The sequence below is a fragment of the Homo sapiens genome, chromosome 5 (assembly GCF_000001405.40).
Source record: "Homo sapiens chromosome 5, GRCh38.p14 Primary Assembly".
NCBI lineage: Eukaryota > Metazoa > Chordata > Mammalia > Primates > Hominidae > Homo > Homo sapiens.
In genome coordinates this window covers 126,271,123-126,291,364 of record NC_000005.10, presented here as the reverse complement: position 1 = coordinate 126,291,364, position 20,242 = coordinate 126,271,123, and the positions used below count along the sequence as shown (strand labels likewise).

The window sequence follows — 20,242 nt, the reverse complement described above, 5'->3', positions numbered from 1 at the left end:
GAGTAACTATTTCTAAGCTATTAAAAGGAAATTAGGTTCTTGTAGTTTTTGAGGTGTATGTATATTTAAGGGTTAAAAATGAATTAAAGTACCTTAGCTCTTCCATTCTCTACATTCCTAATGTGCTCTAAGATGAATCACTACCACTATCCTTTTAGAGTTGACATGATTAATTCCTTTCTATTACTTAAGAGTAAGCATAATGAAGCATAATGAGTCTATTCTTTTTTAAAATAACAACTTTATTGAGATATAATTCACATACTATAAAATGCACCCTTTAAATTTTGAAATTACAATTCAATAATTCTTGGTATACTTAAAGAATTGTGTAGTCATCACCACTATCTGGTTTTAGAATATTTCATGCCCCCAAAACAAACCCAATAACTCCCCATTCCCTCCTGCCCCTAGCTCCAGGAAACAACTAACCTCCTTTCTATTTTACCTCTTGTATCTGACTTCTTTCGCTCAGCGTGCTTTCAAGGTTCATCTATGCTGTAGCATGTATCAGTACTTCATTCCTTTTATGGTCTAATGACGTTCCACTGTATATACCACATTTCATCTACATATTCATCAGTTGGTGGACATTTGGGTTATTTCCACTTTTTTGGCAGTTACGAATTATACTACAGTGAACACTTATGTACAAGTTACGTGGACATATGTTTTCACTTCTCTTAGGAGAATTGCTGGGTCACGGTTACTCTATGCTTAACGTTTTAAGGAACTGCCAAACTGCTTTCCAGAGTGGCTGTACCATTTTGGAATCTCACTAGTAATGAATGAGGGAGGGCTCCAATTTGTCCACAGGCTCGCCTAAACTTGTTATTGTTTGTCTTTTGATTACAGCTATTTTTGGGAGTATGAAGTGATACCTCTTTATGGTTCTGACTATTATTTCCCCCATTGAATTACTTTGGTTATCTTGTTAAAAATCAATTGACTATAAGGGTAAGGGAATATAACTGAACTCTTATTATATTCTATCTCTATGTCTATCCTTATGCCAATACCAAACTGTCTTGATTACAGTAGCTTTGTTGTACTGTACTATACTGTACTGTAGCTTTGGAATCTGAAAGCGTGAGTCTTTTTATCTTCTTTTTTAAGGTTGTTTTGGCTATTCTGAGTCCTTTCCATTTCCATATTAATTTTAGAATCAACTTTCCAGTTTCTTCCCAGAAGACAGCCAGGATTTTGATAGGTATTGCATTTACTCTGCAAATCGGTTTGGGGAATATTGATATCTTAGCAGTAGTAACTTCTGATGCATGAATATGAGATGTCTCTTCATTTATTTAGGTGTTTAATTTTTTAAATTTTGTTGTTTTCAATGTACAAGACTTCTACTTTTTTTTGCTAAATTTATTTCAAAGTACTTAATTCTTTTTGATGCTTTTATAAATGGAGTTTTCTTAATTCTGTTTTTGAATTATTTATTTATAGTGCTTAGAAATATAATTTTGCACATTAATCTTGTATCCTGCAATTTTGTGAACTTCTTTATTAGTTCTAATATTTTTTTGAATGCATATCTTAGAATTTTCTATATACAATATCATGTCACTTATGAATAAGATCTACTTCTTTCCAATATGGATGTCTTTTATATCTTGTCAAATTTCTTGAGCACTTTTATTATGAAAGGGTTTTGGATTGTATTAAATCACTTTTTGCCTCTAGTGAGATAATTATGTAATCTTTTTTTTGTAAATATTATTTTACATTTATTGATTTTCGTATGTTATACCTACCTTGCATTCTTGGGATAAATCCCACTTGGTCATACTGCATAATCTTTCTTATATGCTGCTGGATTCTGTATGCTAACATTGTGTTAAAGATTTTTGTGTCTGTATAAACAATATCGTTCTATAGTATCCTTGTGATATCTCTGTCTGGTTTTGGTATCAGAGTAACAGCAGCTTCATAGAACAATTTGGGAAGTATTCCTTCCTTTACTAATTTTTGGAAGAGTTTATGAAGTGTTGATGTTTCTGCCTTTATTTTTCTTTACTTCTTTTCTTCTCTGATCTTTCCTTCTATTTGCTTATTCTGGTTTTAGTTTGTTCTCCTCTTTCTAGTTTCTTAAGGTGCATAACAAAATTATAGATCTGCAATCTTTTTTCTTATTTAATATAGGCATTTACAGCTATAAATTTGCCTTTAATGTGTTAGCTGTATGCTATACATTTTGATACTATTTTTGTTTTTATTCCTCTCAAAGTATTTTTTAACTTCTCGTGGTCTTTTAACTTATTGGTTATGAGTGTGTTAATTTCCACTTATTTGTGAGTTTCCCAAATTTCCTTCTGTTATTGAATTCTAATTTTTATTTCATCATGGTTGGAGAGTATATTTTGTATGATTTCAATCCTTGGAAATTTACTGAGGTTTGCTTTCTGACTTAAATACAGTTTATCCTGGAGAATGTTCCTTGTGCACTAGAGAAGAATGTATTCAGCTGTTTTGGTGGAATGTTTTACAGATGTGTGTTAGGTTTAGTTGTTTTATGGTGTTGTTCAATGCTTCTCTTCTTGTTGAACTTTTGCCTAGTTCTATCGATTGTTGAAAGGAGGTCTTGAAGTCTCCAACTATTATTGTCAAATTATTGATTTCTCCCTTCAATTCTGTCAGCTTTTGCTTTATGTATTTTGGGCCTCTATTGTTAGGTACACATACATTTAGAATTGTTATCTCTTTTTGATGCTTTGACCCTTTTATTATAAAAATCCTTACTTATCTCTTAAAAATTTTGTCTCAAAGTGTATTTTGTCTAATATTAGTATATCAACTCCAGCCCTATTTTGGTTAATGTTTGCATGGTGTATTTTTTTCCTATTCTTCTACTTTCAAGTTACTCAAGTTTTTGAATCTCAAGTATATTTCTTGTAGGTAGCAAAAGATGAATCTTTTAATAATTCCATTCCAATTTCTAGTCTTTTAATTTATGTGCTTAATACATTTATATTTAGTGATTTAGTGTAATTACTAATAAGGAATGACTTATAGCTGCCATTTTTCTATTTGTCTGCATGTCTTTGCCTTTTGTTCCCTATTACCTGTCCTCTACTAATAACTTTTGTATTAAAGAAACATTTTCTAGTGCGCCATTTAAATTCTCTTGCTGTTTCTTTTGCTATAGTTTTGAAGTTATTTTCTTAGTGGTTTTTCCGGGGATTAAAATTATCATCTTAACTTAAAACAATCTAGTTTGGATTAATAACAACTTAATTTCAATAGTACACAAAACTTTTTTTCCAATATAGCATTTTCTATTTAAAGCTTATAAAGAAGCAATATATTGTTTAGGCATAATACATACGTGGTAAGGCATTAATGAAAAGCAAGGGACAATAAACATAAAAGCTCACTGTAAAGCTTCACCTCCATGGGTGGCAGGGGAGTGGGATAAGATCAAAGATTTTTTTTTTTTTTTTTTTTTTTTGAGATGGAGTCTCGCTCTGTGGCCCAGGCTGGAGTGCAGTGGCGCCATCTCGGCTCACTGCAAGCTCTGCCTCCTGGGTTCACGCCGTTCTCCGGCCTCAGCCTCCTGAGTAGCTGGGACTACAGGCGCCCGCCGCCACGCCCGGCTAATTTTTTGTATTTTCAGTAGAGATGGGGTTTCACCGTGTTAGCCAGGATGGTCTCGATCTCTTGAGCTCGTGATTCACCCGCCTTTGCCTCCCAAAGTGCTGGGATTACAGGCGTGAGCCACCGCGCCTGGCTGACCAAAGATATTCTTAGTATTTTATTTCTTAAACGAGATAAGCATATAGGTGTTGTAGTTATAATTTTTTTTTTACATTAAAACAACTAAAAATTTACTTATAGTAAAATTAAGGCTTTCTTTTTGGCATACAGTTCAGACAAATGCCTAGAGTTGTGTTAACAGCCATTGCAGTCAGGATACATAACTGTTCTATTTCCCCCAAATTCCTTTGTACTGCCTCCTTTTACCCAAACCCTCATCCTATTCTCAACCCTTTCCTAGAATTTTGCATTTCCAGAATGTACAAATAGAATTATACAGTATGTATTTTTTTGATCCAGGCTTCTTTCCATCACTTAGCATGGTGGGTCTTAAACAGTAGTGATTTTTCTCCCTAGGAAACATTTGGCCGTATCTAGAAACATCCTTGGTTGATTAAATTGGCATAGTGAGGGAGATGCAACTGGCGTCCAGTGGGTAGAGGCCAGTGATGCCTGCAAATATACCTTACAACGCTCGAGATAGCTCCCCACAATACAAATTTATCTGGCCTGAAGTCTAATAGTGCCGAGGTTTAGAAACCCTGTTAGCACAATGCATCTGAGATTTGTCTATGTTGCTGAATGTTGTTCCTTAGGATGTACCACAGTTTGTTTTTTCATTCTTGTGTTGAAAGACAGTGGCTTATTTCCAGTTTTTCTATAAACAGTTACATAAGTTTTTTTGTGTCAACATAGGGTTTCATTTCTCTGGGTGCCTTTCTAGGAGTGAGAATCCTGGATTATATGGGTTCACTTTATAAGAAACTACCGAATTATTTTCCAGTACTCCTGCACCATTTTGCATTCTGACCAGCAATGTATGAGTTTCCAGTTGTCTGGACAACCTTGCCAACATTTGTTGTCATCTTTTTCAAATGTCGATTCAGCCTTGCATCTCTAGAGTAAACCTCAATTGCTCATGATGTATTATTCCTTTCATATATAGCTGGATTAGATTTACTAATATTTTGTTGAGGACTTTTAAAATCTATATTCATGAGGTATATGTGTCTGTAGTTTTATTGTAATACCTTTGGGTTCGAGATCAAGGTAATGCTGGCTCCACAATGAGTTGGAAAATGGTCCCTTCTATTTTCTGGTAGATATTGTGTAGGGTTGTTATTATTTCTTCCTTACGTATGTGGTAGATTTTGCTAGTGAAACTGTTTGGATCTAAAGTTTTCTTTATTTGAAAATTTTAAATAAAAAATGCAATTTGTTCATAGATACAAGATAATTTAGATTATTACTACTTTAGTGAGTTTTTGTAGTTTGTATATTTCAAGGAATTGGACCATTTCACCTAAGTTGTCAAATTTATGGGCTTAGAGTTGTTCATAGTGTTTCCTTAATGCACTATTGATGTCTGTGGAGTCTCTGGTGATATCCCCTGACATCCTCTGTATCGGTAATCTGTGTTTTCTTCTTTTTATTTTTTTTTTGATCTGTGTAGCTAGAGGTTTGTTGTTTAGAAACACATACATCTGCGATAAAACTTTGAAGATAAGCAACAATAAACACAAGTTCAGTGTAAAGGTCACCTCAATAGGTATCAGGGGAGGGGAATTAAACCAGGAGGTTCTAGGGCTTCAAAGATATTTATAATATTCTAGTTCTTAAAGAAGATGATAAACATATGGGTAAATAATTATTAATCTTTAATTCACTATAATACACATATTTGTATGTGTGGCATATGATGTATTCATCCTAAAAATGACATAATAAATTTCTCAAACTTGCAAATAACCTGGACTCCATAGTTTTGTGGGGATGTTGGATTTAGATTGACAAGTAAAGGATGATGGCCCTAGGAGAAATGATCATTAAGACGAAAGATCAACTTTCTGCTTCCTTTACCTAACTCCAGGAGGAGTATAAAATAAATATTACTTCTTTTTGCTTTCCTGAAACCCTTGCTGGAGGTGAGAATTCATTCTCACACTCTAAACATCCTTTCTCGTGACTAGTCTACAATTATTTTTAAATTCAGAGAGTATTTTGACCCTGTGAAGAGACTGTGAAAAGTAGGGTGTGCCTAGTGGTTTGTATGTGGAATGCCCCAGGCAGAGGGACTTCCTAGGAGCCAAGCTGTTGCTTGGCTATCTTTGTGTCATACGTGACTTCTGTTCGAGTTCCAGCATTAGCGGGAGAGCCTCACATATATTGCCAGCCCTCTCCCTGCCCAGAACTCTTGTGACTGGCCCTAAGGCAGATCAGGTGTTTATTCCATATCCTTGATGACAAAGAAACTGTGATCGTGTTCTGGGGAATGTCCCTTTTCCCATTCAAGTGTATGATCATATTTTCAAGCAATCACGTTTACATTCAGCCTGGAAACTTTCTGCCCAGTTCTTAAGTTCTACTGCCAGCAGCTTGGATACTACAGAATGCTGATTTAGCTCATAGGATGCATTGAACCACTTTGCCATGGTAACCAGCAGACAGACCTGAGAGAAGCAAGGCTGCAGAGAAACTGTAGCCATCACCAAACAACAAATCAAAGGGAAGTGTCTCAGGAGAGATTTCTAATTATCATACATTTGTCCTTGCAGCCAAACCAGGATGCAGTGGAAATGGTGCCTTTGGCACTAGCATCTTAGGTCACAAAATCAGGTAAACTCTCCTGGGCTCCTTTGGGAATTCCACAGAGTCTCCTGCTGCCTTAGGTGTATTGAAATAGATTCTTAGATTGACCTTTTCCTTACAGTTATCACCAAGTCCTTGGCAGTGATAACTAAAGTGCTGTACAGCTTAAGGTATTTTATGGACAGCAAGGCAATTTTAAAAAGTCTCACATCTGTGAGCCTGATATAATAGCTAATAGCATCTGAGATGATTCTGACATCTTAACGAGATTGCCTCTGTTTATTCCTTATTTTATTCTTTTTTGCATTCTCTTTAATATAAGCAAGCTTAGTTCAATAATCTTTAATGCAAGTGAAGTACTAACTGATATGTTTATATGCAAATATATACAAATCATATAGTAAGATAGGGCTTCTAGAGTAACAACTGGTAACATCCATGTTTACTTATGAAGAAAGTGCTCAAGGTTACAAAGCTATCACTAAAGATTTACTAATAATTTGCTGGGGAAATAGTTGTTGAAATCCTTTTTCTGCTTTTAAATGTCCTGAGATCAAGGCTGTCTGATTCTTGAGACAGGGAGAATGTGATAAATGAAGACACAACATCACATGAATAAAATTCGAATTGCCTGTGCTAAGAGAGTGGCTTTGAACTTCTCCTTGCAGTCAGACCAAACTGCAAAGGCATCTGCGCTAGTAGAGGTCTTTAACGCATCTGTTCTGCATTAATTCATATTTCTGAATGGCATATGCTAGAGGCTGGCCTGAATCACCTTTGTTTTATTAAAGGTGCATTTAAGGTCAACGACCACTAACTGCGTTGTTAAATATTGATTTAGCCATTTGAATTAATGTAATTTTCAGTCCTTTTTCTACTTAATATACACCAGGACTCCCGTGACCCAGTCAGACAGAAGATCAATACATGGGCACTCAGCTTGTATTGAAGCTGGGGTTGACTGCTTGCTTGTTTTCCTGTGAAAACCAAAGTGTTCAAGATAATGGGCTATTGGCTTATCTACTTATCTTCTGCAAAACTTCTGAATGCTTTCATCTCTTGCAGGATGTTTTTGACCTATTTAGTGATCAGTGTTTCTCAGAGTTCTGAGTGATTAGGTTTCCTTTGTTGAGGAACAAATGGTATCAAGAAAGCAAAAACCCAAACATGAAACATTAAAATAGCCAGGTCGGCGCTACATGGATTCACATTTCAAGATTTGAAACAAGCCTTAGGTTACTTTACTCAGCACTTTCATCTTACTGGTGATGAAACAGAGTTTAAATGACTTTTCAAACTGCTAGAGTCAGAACTAGAATCCTGGACTTCTAAAGATTCTCTTTTCATTGATACTGTAGTATGTATCATTTATTTTTCTGCAAACTGAGGCAAGTAAAGGAATTTTGTGACCATAGTCATTAAAAATATTGTATTGGGCTTAGAGGAGGTTGGTATTAAAAATGAAATAGTTTATTTTACTGGACGCTAAATGGAGACTCCATCCCTATGAGCTGCCATGAGAATATTGCCTCCTTGGTAAACTTTCAGCTTAGCTCTCTAATCTCTAGATAATACCAACTGGCTTCACTTACTCTGGTTTATTGAGATCAATTAATCTGTAGTTCTTTTCCTGCCTACCCTCCAGTTAAGCCTAGAGGTGCCAGGGGGCTGTCTTTGCCACTGTGTACAAAAAGTGTGCCTAAGAATGCAGCAATCATTTGAGGAAACAGTCAAGATTCAGAGACCAAGCCCTGGCAATGTGAAGTGTCTGGATTTAGACATGCCTAAAGCTAGTGATACCCCTGAAAATTTAGATTATGTAAGTTGAGTAAATACCCTTATTTGCTTAAACTTTTTTTTTTTTGAGATGGCGTCTGGCTCTGTTTCCCAGGCTGGAGTGCGGTGGCGCGATCTCGGCTCACTGCCAGCTCCGCCTCCCGGGTTCACGCCATTCACCTGCCTCAGCCTCCCGAGTAGCTGGGACTACAGGCGCCCGCCATTGCGCCCGGCTAAATTTTTTGTATTTTTAGTAGAGACAGGTTTCACCATGTTAGCCAGGATGGTCTCGATCTCTTGACCTCGTGATCCGCCTGCCTCCGCCTCCCAAAGTGCTGGGATTACAGGCGTGAGCCACCGCGCCCAGCCTTTTTTTTTTTTTTTTTTTTTTAAATATAACCAAGAGTCTCAACTTCCTGATGAATACATAAGCTGCGTTGGGGTATTTGAGAAATACTTGGATCTTGATGGTGTAGTATCAAGCTTCAAAGTCATGGGGTAGTTTCACAAAGATTTCTTACAGCATTTCTAAATGTGTTACAACAGGTCAGGTAAAAGGTCTCAGGTAAACATCTATATCCAAGGTCCCTCTTTTCAATCTGTATCTGGACAAACAGATGTACAGTACGACCATTGTAAATTGCCATTTTATGTTCAAAGTCATTACATAATGTCAGTGCTTCCAGGGTTTAATACTATCTTAATGATGGTAGGGTATAGTCTTCATTGTAAAAGCTAAAATTAACTAAGTTGGTTTTTTTGGTCAAAACTTTCACTTTAGAAAGTTTTCTGTTCCAAAACCGAAATTGATTATTAAGAAAGGAAAGCACAGAGACTGAAATTATAGACTTTTTAGCACTGGAAGAATAACCTTGGAGATGGTTCAAGACTCTCAATTTACAGGTAACACTGAGGCCCTGAGGCCTCAGCTGTACAGCTCCTTTAGTGGTGGAACTGACACTAATACCCCCATTTCCAATTAGAACACTTCCCTCTGTTCTGACATTCACAGCCTGATGGACTTGCTTGTCTCCTCTTATTTGGTAGCATGCTGGGAGATACTTTCTATCACTGGGTTGCCTGGGGTAAAAAATTTCTAATGTTTAGATGATACAGGACAGTAGCACAATTTACTGACAGCTGTGGAAGTAATTTAGTTTATGTCCACATTTTCTAAGTGCAAGCAAAGGTATTGTAGCACTCCAGTCCCGGTAGAGCTTATGAATATAATTAGAAAATAGAAGTTTAAACCAGGCAAAAAGAATTAAATTAACTGGAACAAACACAATAAACAGAGACAAATCTTTTGTCTCAGCACCTGGTTACAAAATGAGGCCCAGGGATCAGTGACGAGAACCACACAGCTTTTAGGTAGTATCTCTACCTGCAAAAGATGGTAGTGGGGGCAGATTTGTTCATTCCATTTCTCTGGGCAGTTTTATTCACATCACATAGACCTCCTCACAAACACTCTGCAGTTATGTGCAATTAAATGAACTTATTGACGTAAAGGAGACTTGATATATTAAAAAATGTTAAATATTAATGATTTTTGCCTCTATGTATTAGATGTAGTGTTCATGGAGAAAAAATCTGTTAAGAACTATAACATCAAAATTATAAAATGTCTGGATGTGAAGTTCATAAAGCTGAAACTACTTTTTTCTTAAACAAAGGCAAATGCTTTGTGTAGATGGATATCTCTTTTTCTGTGTTCTAGGCATTTGCTTTCATTTTTGTAACCCTTTTAAGTGCTACATGAGGCACCTGGCCCTAGAGTGAAAAGAGATTAAAAACACCTTGGGGAATCTTAATTCCCTCTAAATCACTTTTTTCTCCCTTAAAAAAAGAAGTTAGTCTTGAATGAAATATGGAACCTTATCCACCTTGCGAATAATCTGCTCTCTTCTCCTCTTGCCCCAGAGTTCCAGAGCTTGCTGACAGATAGGCGGTGATTAAAAATTCTCATCGTGCCCATGTGCTTTGTGCCCTCTCCTTTGTCATTCTGCAGTTGGGTATCAAAGCTGTAGCATCTATGTTCTTTGAAGACTAAGCAGGTTGGACATGCAATTTAGATGAAAAACAATTACTCTGTGTTAGCTTGCTTTTGGCAAGAGTGTATTAAGGCTCATCTCACTGATGGGAAACAAAAGCTGCACTTCATCTTCATGAATTTCTAATGAGGGAGAGAGAGAGGAGGAAACAGTGAGTTTTCTGGCAGGAGCTTTTCTGCAAAACCTTTCTCTGATGAGTGGGTTCCTTTCTTGATAGAATACCCTCAGTATTGGCTTGGATGATAATGTGTTTCTCTCCCATGCACAGATGGTGCAAATGATCATGTGGTTCTACTGGTGGGGAGCCTTTGAAACACAAAAAGAGGGCTAAGCAGATGAAGTACATTCTGTGGCATTTTTTTGAACTTATGAGGGGAAGAGAATTAATAGCCATATTGTACTGGTATCTTTTGTTATAAATGTGTTTGGTTTTGAGAAAACAAGCAAACAAAAGGCAAATTTCCATATTTGTGAATCATCTCTGCTTTAGGTGAAATTGAACCTTAAGAAACAGCACTTTATCTCCATGAGTTCAGTTCAGATAGGTACATTAGATCACCAACTTGTGGATAACATGTCACACATTTTTTGTGATGTCAGAATGAGTTCTTGGCCTTGGCTGTTGAGGACAGAACGTCCTGAGCCAAATGGGACAGTGGCTGAGTGAGGACACCAAACCTATTCTTAGGAGGTACATATTGCCAACAATATTATCCAGATAAAAAACACAAAAGAAACACCAAAGGCAGTACTGAAAGGGAATAAAGGTCACCCCAGGCCAGCAGGCATCACATGTGTCTGCAGGAATGAGTGTTAGGGGAATAAGGCCACATTTATGGATATGAGACCTGTGCAGTTACTTGGGGCCCTGTGCTCAGAAGGCCTCATGCTTGGTTTGAGATAGGGTTTGGCTCTGTGTGCCCACCCAAATTTCACCTCAAATTGTAATCCCCATAATCCCCCCATATTGAGGAAAGTGACTTGGGGGGTGACTGGATCATGGGGCAGTTTCCCTTGTGCTGTTCTCATGATAGTGAGTATGGTCTCACTAGATCTGATGGTTTTATAAGTGTCGGACAGTTCCTCCTCCACATGTTCTTTCTCTCACCTGCCACCATGTAAGACATGCCTGCTTCCCCTTCCCCCATGATGGTAAGTTTCCTGAGGCCTCCCCAGCCATGTGGAACTGTGAGTCAGTTAAACCTCTTTTCTTTATAAATTGCCCAGTCTCAGGAAATTCTTTATAGCAATGTGAAAATGAACTAATAGACTGAAATTGATGCTCTGTTCTAGTTGTCTTGAAATTCTTACTAACTTTTGAACGTGGAACCCTACATCTTCGTTTTGTACTGGTCCCCACATATTTTATAGCTGATCTGAAGGAGGAGAGAGAGATGATGGGGGATGAAGGGTATGGAATTGTATGCTATGGCTGCCTGCTGTCGAAGTTCTCCAGGTATGACATTAGAGTACAACTTTCCTACTATAACCAGTAGAATCAATTGCTGCTTGAGGGCAGGCAGAGTGAATGGTATCTTCTGGAGACAGCTTTGAAAGAAAGATAGCTTTTCCCCCGTGAGCTATGTGTGTCTTCACATATTCACCTCAGCATGTCATATTCTTAGAGTCCAAACCTGTACCGTACCTGATGTTAATACTACGTGAGTCACTTCAAAAATAAGACATGTTTTGTTGACTCGTGGCTAACATGTAGAAAATCTATAATTTTTTTCCTAGAAAGCAAGGCCTAGATTTTAGTTCAGGCTATGAACAGATTTTTATTTCTGTATGATATTTGTGGTTTTAAGTTAAATTGGAATTTTCCCTTATAGTCTGTGGTTAAATTCTAATCCCTAAACTAGTTAACATTGGAGATCTGGTAAAATTCTACTAAATTCTTCAACTTTAAATTATCCTATAATGAGAAAGTGGCTCTAGGCTTGATATAGATATATTATAGGACATTTATGAGAAGCAATAGAGCATAGAGAAAGGGCTTTTATTGAGAGAGAATTGGATCCAAGTTCTGGTTCTGCCACTTAAGAGCTGCATGCTGTTAGAAGAGTCATTTCATTGCATTAAGATAGTTTCCTCAATAGTAAAATCAGGATAAGAATATTACTTTTCATGGGTTATGTCAGTATTAAAAGAAATAGCAAATGTAAAGTGATTATAATAGTTCATGGATGCGGGGCAGGTGTTTTTAGAAGTATATGAATTTAGACTGGGCATGGTGGTGTGCACCTATAAACCCAGCTCCTTGGGAGGCTGAGGAGGGAGAATCGCCCGAGCCCAGGCATTTGAGGCCGCAGTGAGCTATGATTGTGCCACTCTTCTCTGGTCCAGCCTGGGTGACAGAGTAAGACCCTGTCTCTAAAAAACAACAGCAACAAAACAATATGAATTTACTTATTTGTAGTTACCTGGCTATTATTCACTCTTCTTAATGTTAACCCTGTTGTATGGACTAACCTCACTATTCAAAGCCCATGTTCAAATGAGATTTCATCCTAAATGCATTTAGAAAAGAAAGGAAAACAATCAGGAAAGTATAAACTAACTTAGTTTTTAAACATATTTATTCATAAAATGTTTATAACTTTTCTATATAAAGTATGTGACTTTTTACCCAATGGGCTTAGAATTAGATCTATATAGGGTGTACATAAAAATTTTTTCAACTCTGAATCTGAATGTTTCCCTTTGTCTTTTACATCCTCCCAAATGTCCACATAGATAGTATCAACCCTCAATGCAAATTATAAGAATGTTATCTTAAAATGTAATAAAAAGTGACCAAGCTGATCTAAACCCCACAACAGCATGAATAGTTTCCATTTATCTAGCATTTAGTTCACTCCTAAATGGTAAGTATATCAGTTGTAAGTCCACCGCCATGTGTCTCCCTTGGAGAAGGCCCTATTTCATGGGCCTTCCTCTGGTTTCCATCCTATGAGGGAGGCACTCTGTTTTGGGGGTTGGGGTAGGGTTTAAAAACATAGGATGTTTATAAATTCCTGAGGAAACTTTAAAATGTAAATACAATATATGAAAGAAACTGTAAACATCTCTTGCAAACTTATTTTGCAGAGTTTTTAACACTATACAATTCAAAACTCTAGACTAGCACAACCACCATCTTTGGTGATGCATTGTTCATTCTGATTTTCCAAGCCATTGAGAATATTCTGCACTTGGTGCTGAGTGATTTCATGAACTGCCATCTGTGAATACAATCCTAAATTTATTCAGTGTGTGGTTTTGATGAGGAGGCAGGTTTATGTAGGACCTGTTTTTTTTTTTAAAGTCTGGGTTTTGAGAATGCAGCCAAGTAATTCATCCTGGTCTACTCATATTTTCTTAAAAGGATATCATGGATGAACCATTAACCCTTTGAAATAAAATCACCCAGGAAGAAAGCATGATAAAAAGTAATAAAATTGTTATAATTTAGAGAAAAACTTCATAACATCTCAAAGTAACACCATATAAACTGTATATATATTTTACAAAAAGGATCAGTTACACTTTCCTGAGAGCACATATTGAGTAAAATCAACATTAATATTAAAAACTTTCTATTAAAATTTCAGATTGTTTGCTTTTATAAAATCACCTTATGTATACATGCATATACCCTCATCTCTAAACTTACACACATTTCACATTGCTGCATAGGTCTGGTAAATGTATTTTATGCCTTCCAAGGGACATGCATTTTTAAATGAATAAATCACTTAAATGAGTCGAAGGGTTGGTACACTGTGTTAACAGAGGGAAACTTCTATCACTTTTAGAAAATATCTAGGCTCTCTTTCAGAGACCTTCTTTTCCTGTAAATTCCTGGTTAAACTAAGAGAACAAAATCCAAAGTCAATGAAATTTTTACTAGAATAGTTCTAATTTTAATATGGTATTTGGTTGTAGTGGTAAGGGGGAGCAATTTAGGAGAACACTGCTTTCCTTTCCATAATTCTTTGAAGTTATTTATTTCTTTACCTAACTTTTTTACACCAGGAATTTTTGATTAGCTATAATGTACTTTCATCATACCATTTTATGGCTTTTAAAAATGAAGTTATAATAAGCAACACTGAGTGACTTGCATTAGGGCAGCCACTGTGGATGGACCCTTTTGCGGGGAGTATGATTCAGAAAAAAAAAGGTCAGCATCACAGTCAAAAAAACGTGGGTTTGGGGCCTGCTGACTTTCTTCAGCATATGTAGCTCTAGAGCAATTGTATATATGCAATTCTTTGTCAGACTTCATGACTAAAACACCAAAAGCAATGGCAACAAAAGCCAAGATTGACAAATGGAATCTAAACTAAAGAGCTTCTGCACAGCAAAAGAAACTATCATCAGAGTGAACAGGCAGCCTACAGAATGGGAGAAAACTTTTGCAATCTATCGATCTGACAAAGGGCTAACATCCAGAAGCTGCAAAGAACTTAAACAAATTTACAAGAAAACTCCATCAAAAGGTGGGCAAAGGATATGAACAGACACTTGTCAAAAGAAGACATTTATGCAGCCAAGAAGCATATGAAAAACTCATCATCACTGGTCATCAGAGAAATTCAAATCAAAACCACAGCGAGATACCATCTCTAGCCAGTTAGAATGGTGATCATTAAAAAGTCAGGAAACAACAGATGGAGAGGATGTGGAGAAAAAGGAATGCTTTTACACTGTTGGTGGGAGTGTAAATTATTTCAACCATTGTGGAAGACAGTGTGGTGATTCCTCAAGGATCTAGAACCAGAAATACCATTTGACCCAGCAATTCCATTACTTGGGTATATATCCAAAGTAATATAAATCATTCTATAGACACATGCACACGTATGTTTATTGCAGCAGTATTCACAATAGCAAAGACTTGGAACCAACTCAAATGCCCATCAATGTTAGACTGGATAAAGAAAATATGGCACATATACATCATGGAATACTATGCAGCCATCAAGAAAGGATTGATTCATGTCCTTTGCAGGGACATGGTTGAAGCTGGAGACCACCATTCTCAGCAAACTAACACAGGAACAGAAAACCAAATGCTGCATATTCTCACTCATAATTGGGAATTGAACAATGAGAACACATGGACACAGGGAGGGGAACATCACACAAAATGGGGCCTTTTGGGGGGTGTGGGGCTATGGGAGGGATAGCATTAGGAGAAATACCTAATGTAGATGATGGGTTGATGGGTGCAGCAAACCACCATGGCATGTGTGTACCTATGTAACAAACCTGCACGTGTCTGCACATGTCTCCCAGAACTTAAAGCATATTAAAAGATTTCTTTGTCTTAGTTTCTTAATCTGAAAAGGTTATTGTTTAGATTGGAAGTGATGTGCAAAGCACCCAGTACACTAGATAGAATGACATAGTCGATGGCTAACAACACTAATTACAGACAGGTATGTGCGGAACCCTCCAGACTTCCTATTCTGCACACAGTGTGCATAAAGCCAGAGAACACAAAAACTTATGAAGTGCCCTGAACTCCTTCCTACAGAGTAGGCTTTGAAAATCTACAGTAACATACATCCTTATGCTACAGAATAGAGTTGTGCTCAACAATAGCCTTTTGACCTTTCTTTGGTTTGGCTTATAACAGAAAATAATGGATTTTTTTTTTTTTTTAGGTCTTGGAGTACAGCATCATGCTAAAATGAAGTAGTTATCTTTACCAATAAATATGAATATTGTCTTTTTTAGAAGAGTATTTTCCACTTATATTCCTTACATTATAAATACATAAAATCTAGTCATGTTTTTTTGCTTGAAATCAAGACTTTGTTTAGCTTAAATGACTGAGCAGAACTTCCAATGCTGCCATTCTCAAATGCTGTGTGTTTTTTTTTGGCGGTGAATTTCTCTGTACTTAATTTCTTTGTACTTAAATTCAGAATTTCTCTGTACTTAAAAATTAAAACACAGGTGGCATTTTTTCCTTAAAAGCAGTTCAGAGATCTATCTCTATTTTAGATTATCCCAAATTTCTACTTAAGAGACTTGAATTTTAATAATCAGCAATCAGATCTTTCTACGCATCAGGCTGTTGGCTGTAATTAAACAAAATGCCTGGAGTTTTCCAGTTGGATGGATATGACAATGAATCAGTGATCAAAAATTGTTGTCGAATGAAACAATACCAATAGGGGCCATCTGCGTTTGCTCAGAACTCATATGGTTCTGGCATGTATCTACTTTTCTATAAATCTTGAGCTTCAAAGAGGCTGAAAATTCTTTTTGTAATGATTTTTCCTGGTTGATTTTGTTTAATAAAACTAATGTACAGTTTTTGAGAATGAACACGGAAAAGGGCATTGGGAACATGTGGCTTTTGTCTAATTTCCAGGACAACAGGCTAATACCTTTGAAAACAAAATCAATTCTGAAAATGATATGGAACATATGCTAGAGTAATTTTAGAGTCTGCATTCATCTTGAACATGAAATCTTAGAACCTTTGAGAGTATTCAGTGGAAATCCAGAAATCCTTTCTGGTTCTGACACATTTCTTCTTCTTTCAATAAAAACCAGACCTGGGCTGATGCCAGCATTAAGCCCTGGGGCAGCTGGAATGAAGCTGACACCAGGTGAAATTCCACGATCTATCATACCAGCTACACAGGGAACTTAAATACTTCACCCCCAACATTTTGACACAATGCAATTATTTTGTTTTTGACAGATGGCATTTGTTTGTTTGAAAAGGTTTTTGCTAAAAGTACCATCTTCAGATAAATGTACTCAGATTTGTATTTTAGAGGTATTTCACAGCTGCACTTTTATAAATAGGTCGAAAAATAGCCAGATACTGATTTATGTTTGACAGCTCATTTTAGTGGTATTCAGAATTTCTGCAAGGATACTTTGGCTTATTCCCTTGAGTCTTCACAGCTCATGAAAACTCCAAACAGTATTAAAGGCAAAAAAAAAATCTTTAATATGATATGTTCAAATCTCAGTGGATTATCTTGCTCCAGATTTTCCAAACTAGCTTCAGTTTGGAACCATTTCCTTCAATTCTTTGTTTGAACAATTATTGCAGTTGGCTGAATATGTTCAGTGAATAATGAAAGGCTTACTCAGTGTTAATTTAGACAAGAAAATGGGCCAGGTGTAGTGGCTTATGCCTGTAATCCTAGCACTTTGGGAGGCCAAAGTGGGAGGATCCCTTGAGCCCAGGGGTTTGAGTCTAGCCTGGGCAACATAGGGGGAGACTCTGTCTCTAAAAAATAAAAAAGCCAGGCATGGTGACACCACACCTGTAGTCCCAGCTTACTTGGGAGGCTGAGATGGGAGAATTACTTGAGCCGGGGAGGTTGAGGCTGCAGTGAGCTGTGATTGCACCATTGCACTCCAGCCTGAGTGACCAAGCAAGACTGTCTCAAACAAACAAACAAACAAACAAAAATTGCCCAGGTCAAAGTGCTGTATCTGTGGATAAGTGTGCTTTGTATGTATTGGTTTTTCCTGTTGGTAAAAAACATGGATTCTGGAGCCTGACTGCCTGTCTTCCAAATGGGCTCTGAAGGGAATGTTGCATTCGTTTCCAAACTTCTTGTTTCAGTTGCCTCATCTGTACAGTTTGGATACTAGCAGTACCCACTTCTGTCTTTGTGATAATTTGCTGAGAATGATGGTTTCCAGCTTCATCCACATCCCTACAAAGGACATGAACTCATCCTTTTTTATGGCTGCATAGTATTCCATGGTGTATATGTGCCACATTTTCTTAATCCAGTCTATCATTAATGGACATTTGGGTTGGTTCCAAGTCTTTGCTATTGTGGGAATTGAACAATGAGAACACTTGGACACAGGAAGGGGAACATCACACACCAGGGCCCTGTTGTGGGGTGGGGGGAGGGGGGAGGGATAGTGTTAGGAGATATACCTAATGTAAATGACGAGTTAATGGGTGCAGCACACCAACATGGCACATGTATACATATGTAACAAATCTTCACATTGTGCACATGTACCCTAGAAGTTAAGTTAATATACATAGAAAATTTAGAAATGCTTGACTTATGGGGGATCTGCAATTGTATATATGTGTATATGTATACATGTGTGTATATGTATACATGTATGTATATGTATATATATATCTAGATGTATATGTATTATATAAACTAGTACAAATAGCAACTGATAATAATCTTTCATGTTATTCCTATTTCCATCATTAACTATGTGAAAGTTGTACTACTAAATGTGTTGAGTAGCTTATGAAATACCGAACTAGAGTCTATCAAAGATATAAAGAAAATACATGTAGCTGTTTTGAAAAAAAATTATCATAATTTCTCTCATTTGATCCTCAAATATTTTCAAGGTCCAGAGAGGATTTAAGTTGCTGGAATAATCCACCCAGTCTTCGAGATGTGATTATATAATTGATGGTATGTGGATATCACTGATCACAAAACACAATAAAGGACCTAAGGCAACATCTTTGTTCTTTCTCAATGTGGGGAAAATGTTTTTGTTCTACTTGGTAAGTGGCCTCTGCAGTGTCTCTTGGAGACCTCAATAAATGATTATTTTCCAGCATTCCATCACATGCCAAATGTTTTACTCCCATGTCCCTGAGGTTCTCGTCTGTCAGCACTTGTCTTGCAGCTCAGTACAGACAGGGCATGGGTAAAGTGCACAGTGAAGATTGGTACAGGAAAGTCTGAAGCCCTTTCTTCCTGAAGATGAAAAATCTTCTGGACTTACCCGCACCCCTCCAGATCTTAAGACTGACTCTTGTTTGAAGATGTGTGTTTTGCTTTACTTCCTCTGTGAGTGCTCAGCACAGAGCGGTATCTACTTTTCTGGTTTTACATTTTTCATTTTAAAGATCCAATTACCTCAAGTCCTTTTCTTGAATATTGCAGTGGGCCTGCTGACCTAATAATTCTCTCATCTCTAATTTCAATCATTATCTCTACTTGAAGTTGCATCACACATACGCACACCTGAATGTGTGAGAAGGACAGAGACAATTCCCCCCGCAGGAAGAAATGGCTCATATCATTTGAGAGCCAAGTCTCAAGGGCATCATCAGTGTTATTTCCTCATGTTCAGTGGCATTTTCTGGTGTGTCGTATTAGATTTAGTTATAGTATCACCAACTATAGTAGCGCAGCCGCTCTGCTCTTCAGAAATGCTGAAACAGGCACAGCCTGGAGGCGCTAGGAAAGTCCATTGCTCAGTGAGTCTAAAGGTCCAATAGTTCGGAATCTTTTCTAAGTCCATTCCTTTATCATTCTTTGTGGCTGCTGGAGCTAGCCGGTGGTTGGTTATATGTTTTTTTTAATTTGATGTAGTATTGCCAAATCTCTGATAAATTTACAATTCCTTTTTCTTGGGGATTTGGCAATGAGAAGAAGTTGCCATTTTCTTGAAGGTGTTTGAAAGGATAACTCTGAACTTCATTTCTAGAATGTATAATGCTGTGAAATAAAGGTAATATGAAAATAACGACAGCTACCATTGTTGAGGGTCTGCTTTGCACCGAACACCATTACAAGTGTTTGAGGTATCATACATTTTTTACCTGCACAAGAATACAGTAGTCTTGCACGGTAGGTATTTGCACTGTACCATAGGTAAGCTCAGAGAAGAGGGTTCTTGCTTAAGATGGCATAGTACGAAAGAGAGAGGAAAGCCTTCTTGTGACTCATCCTCTCTTTGCAGAGGAGCTTAGCTTCTGAGATGCTCCAGTGTATCTTGTGGGTCTAGTGCATTTTGTTTTCTGGAAGAATTGCCTACTGATGGGGATGCCAAACAAAGTGCCGACCCACTGAGAAATAGTGTGAGACCTTCTGCTTCTCGGCTGCTTTGGGTCATCTGTGAGTGTTGCAGTCCTTAGGGGAGGATGTGAGGTGGGTTGCCAGGCAAACAGGGCAGCTTGCCTTCTGCACAGTCTACTTATCACAGGGCCTGGCTGACATTCATTCATTCATTTACTTATTTTACTTGTGTGTGTATATATATACACACACAACATATAATTATATATTAAATTAAATATTAAGTATATATTATATATA

The 20,242-nt window shown here is 37.1% G+C and overlaps 2 long non-coding RNA genes across 3 annotated transcripts in view; both read left to right on the top strand.

Moving 5' to 3' along the window:
• Positions 1-20,242, top strand: part of LOC124901056 (uncharacterized) — an 891,204-nt gene that overhangs the window by 78,934 nt on the left and 792,028 nt on the right. The window lies entirely within an intron of this gene.
• Positions 6,190-18,848, top strand: LOC101927488 (uncharacterized). Of its 2 annotated transcripts, NR_105039.1 has the most exons (3): positions 6,190-6,375; positions 11,472-11,634; positions 18,538-18,848. It is a non-coding gene; the product is annotated as an uncharacterized LOC101927488 (long non-coding RNA). The 2 variants fall into 2 exon arrangements; NR_105040.1 differs by lacking the exon at positions 11,472-11,634.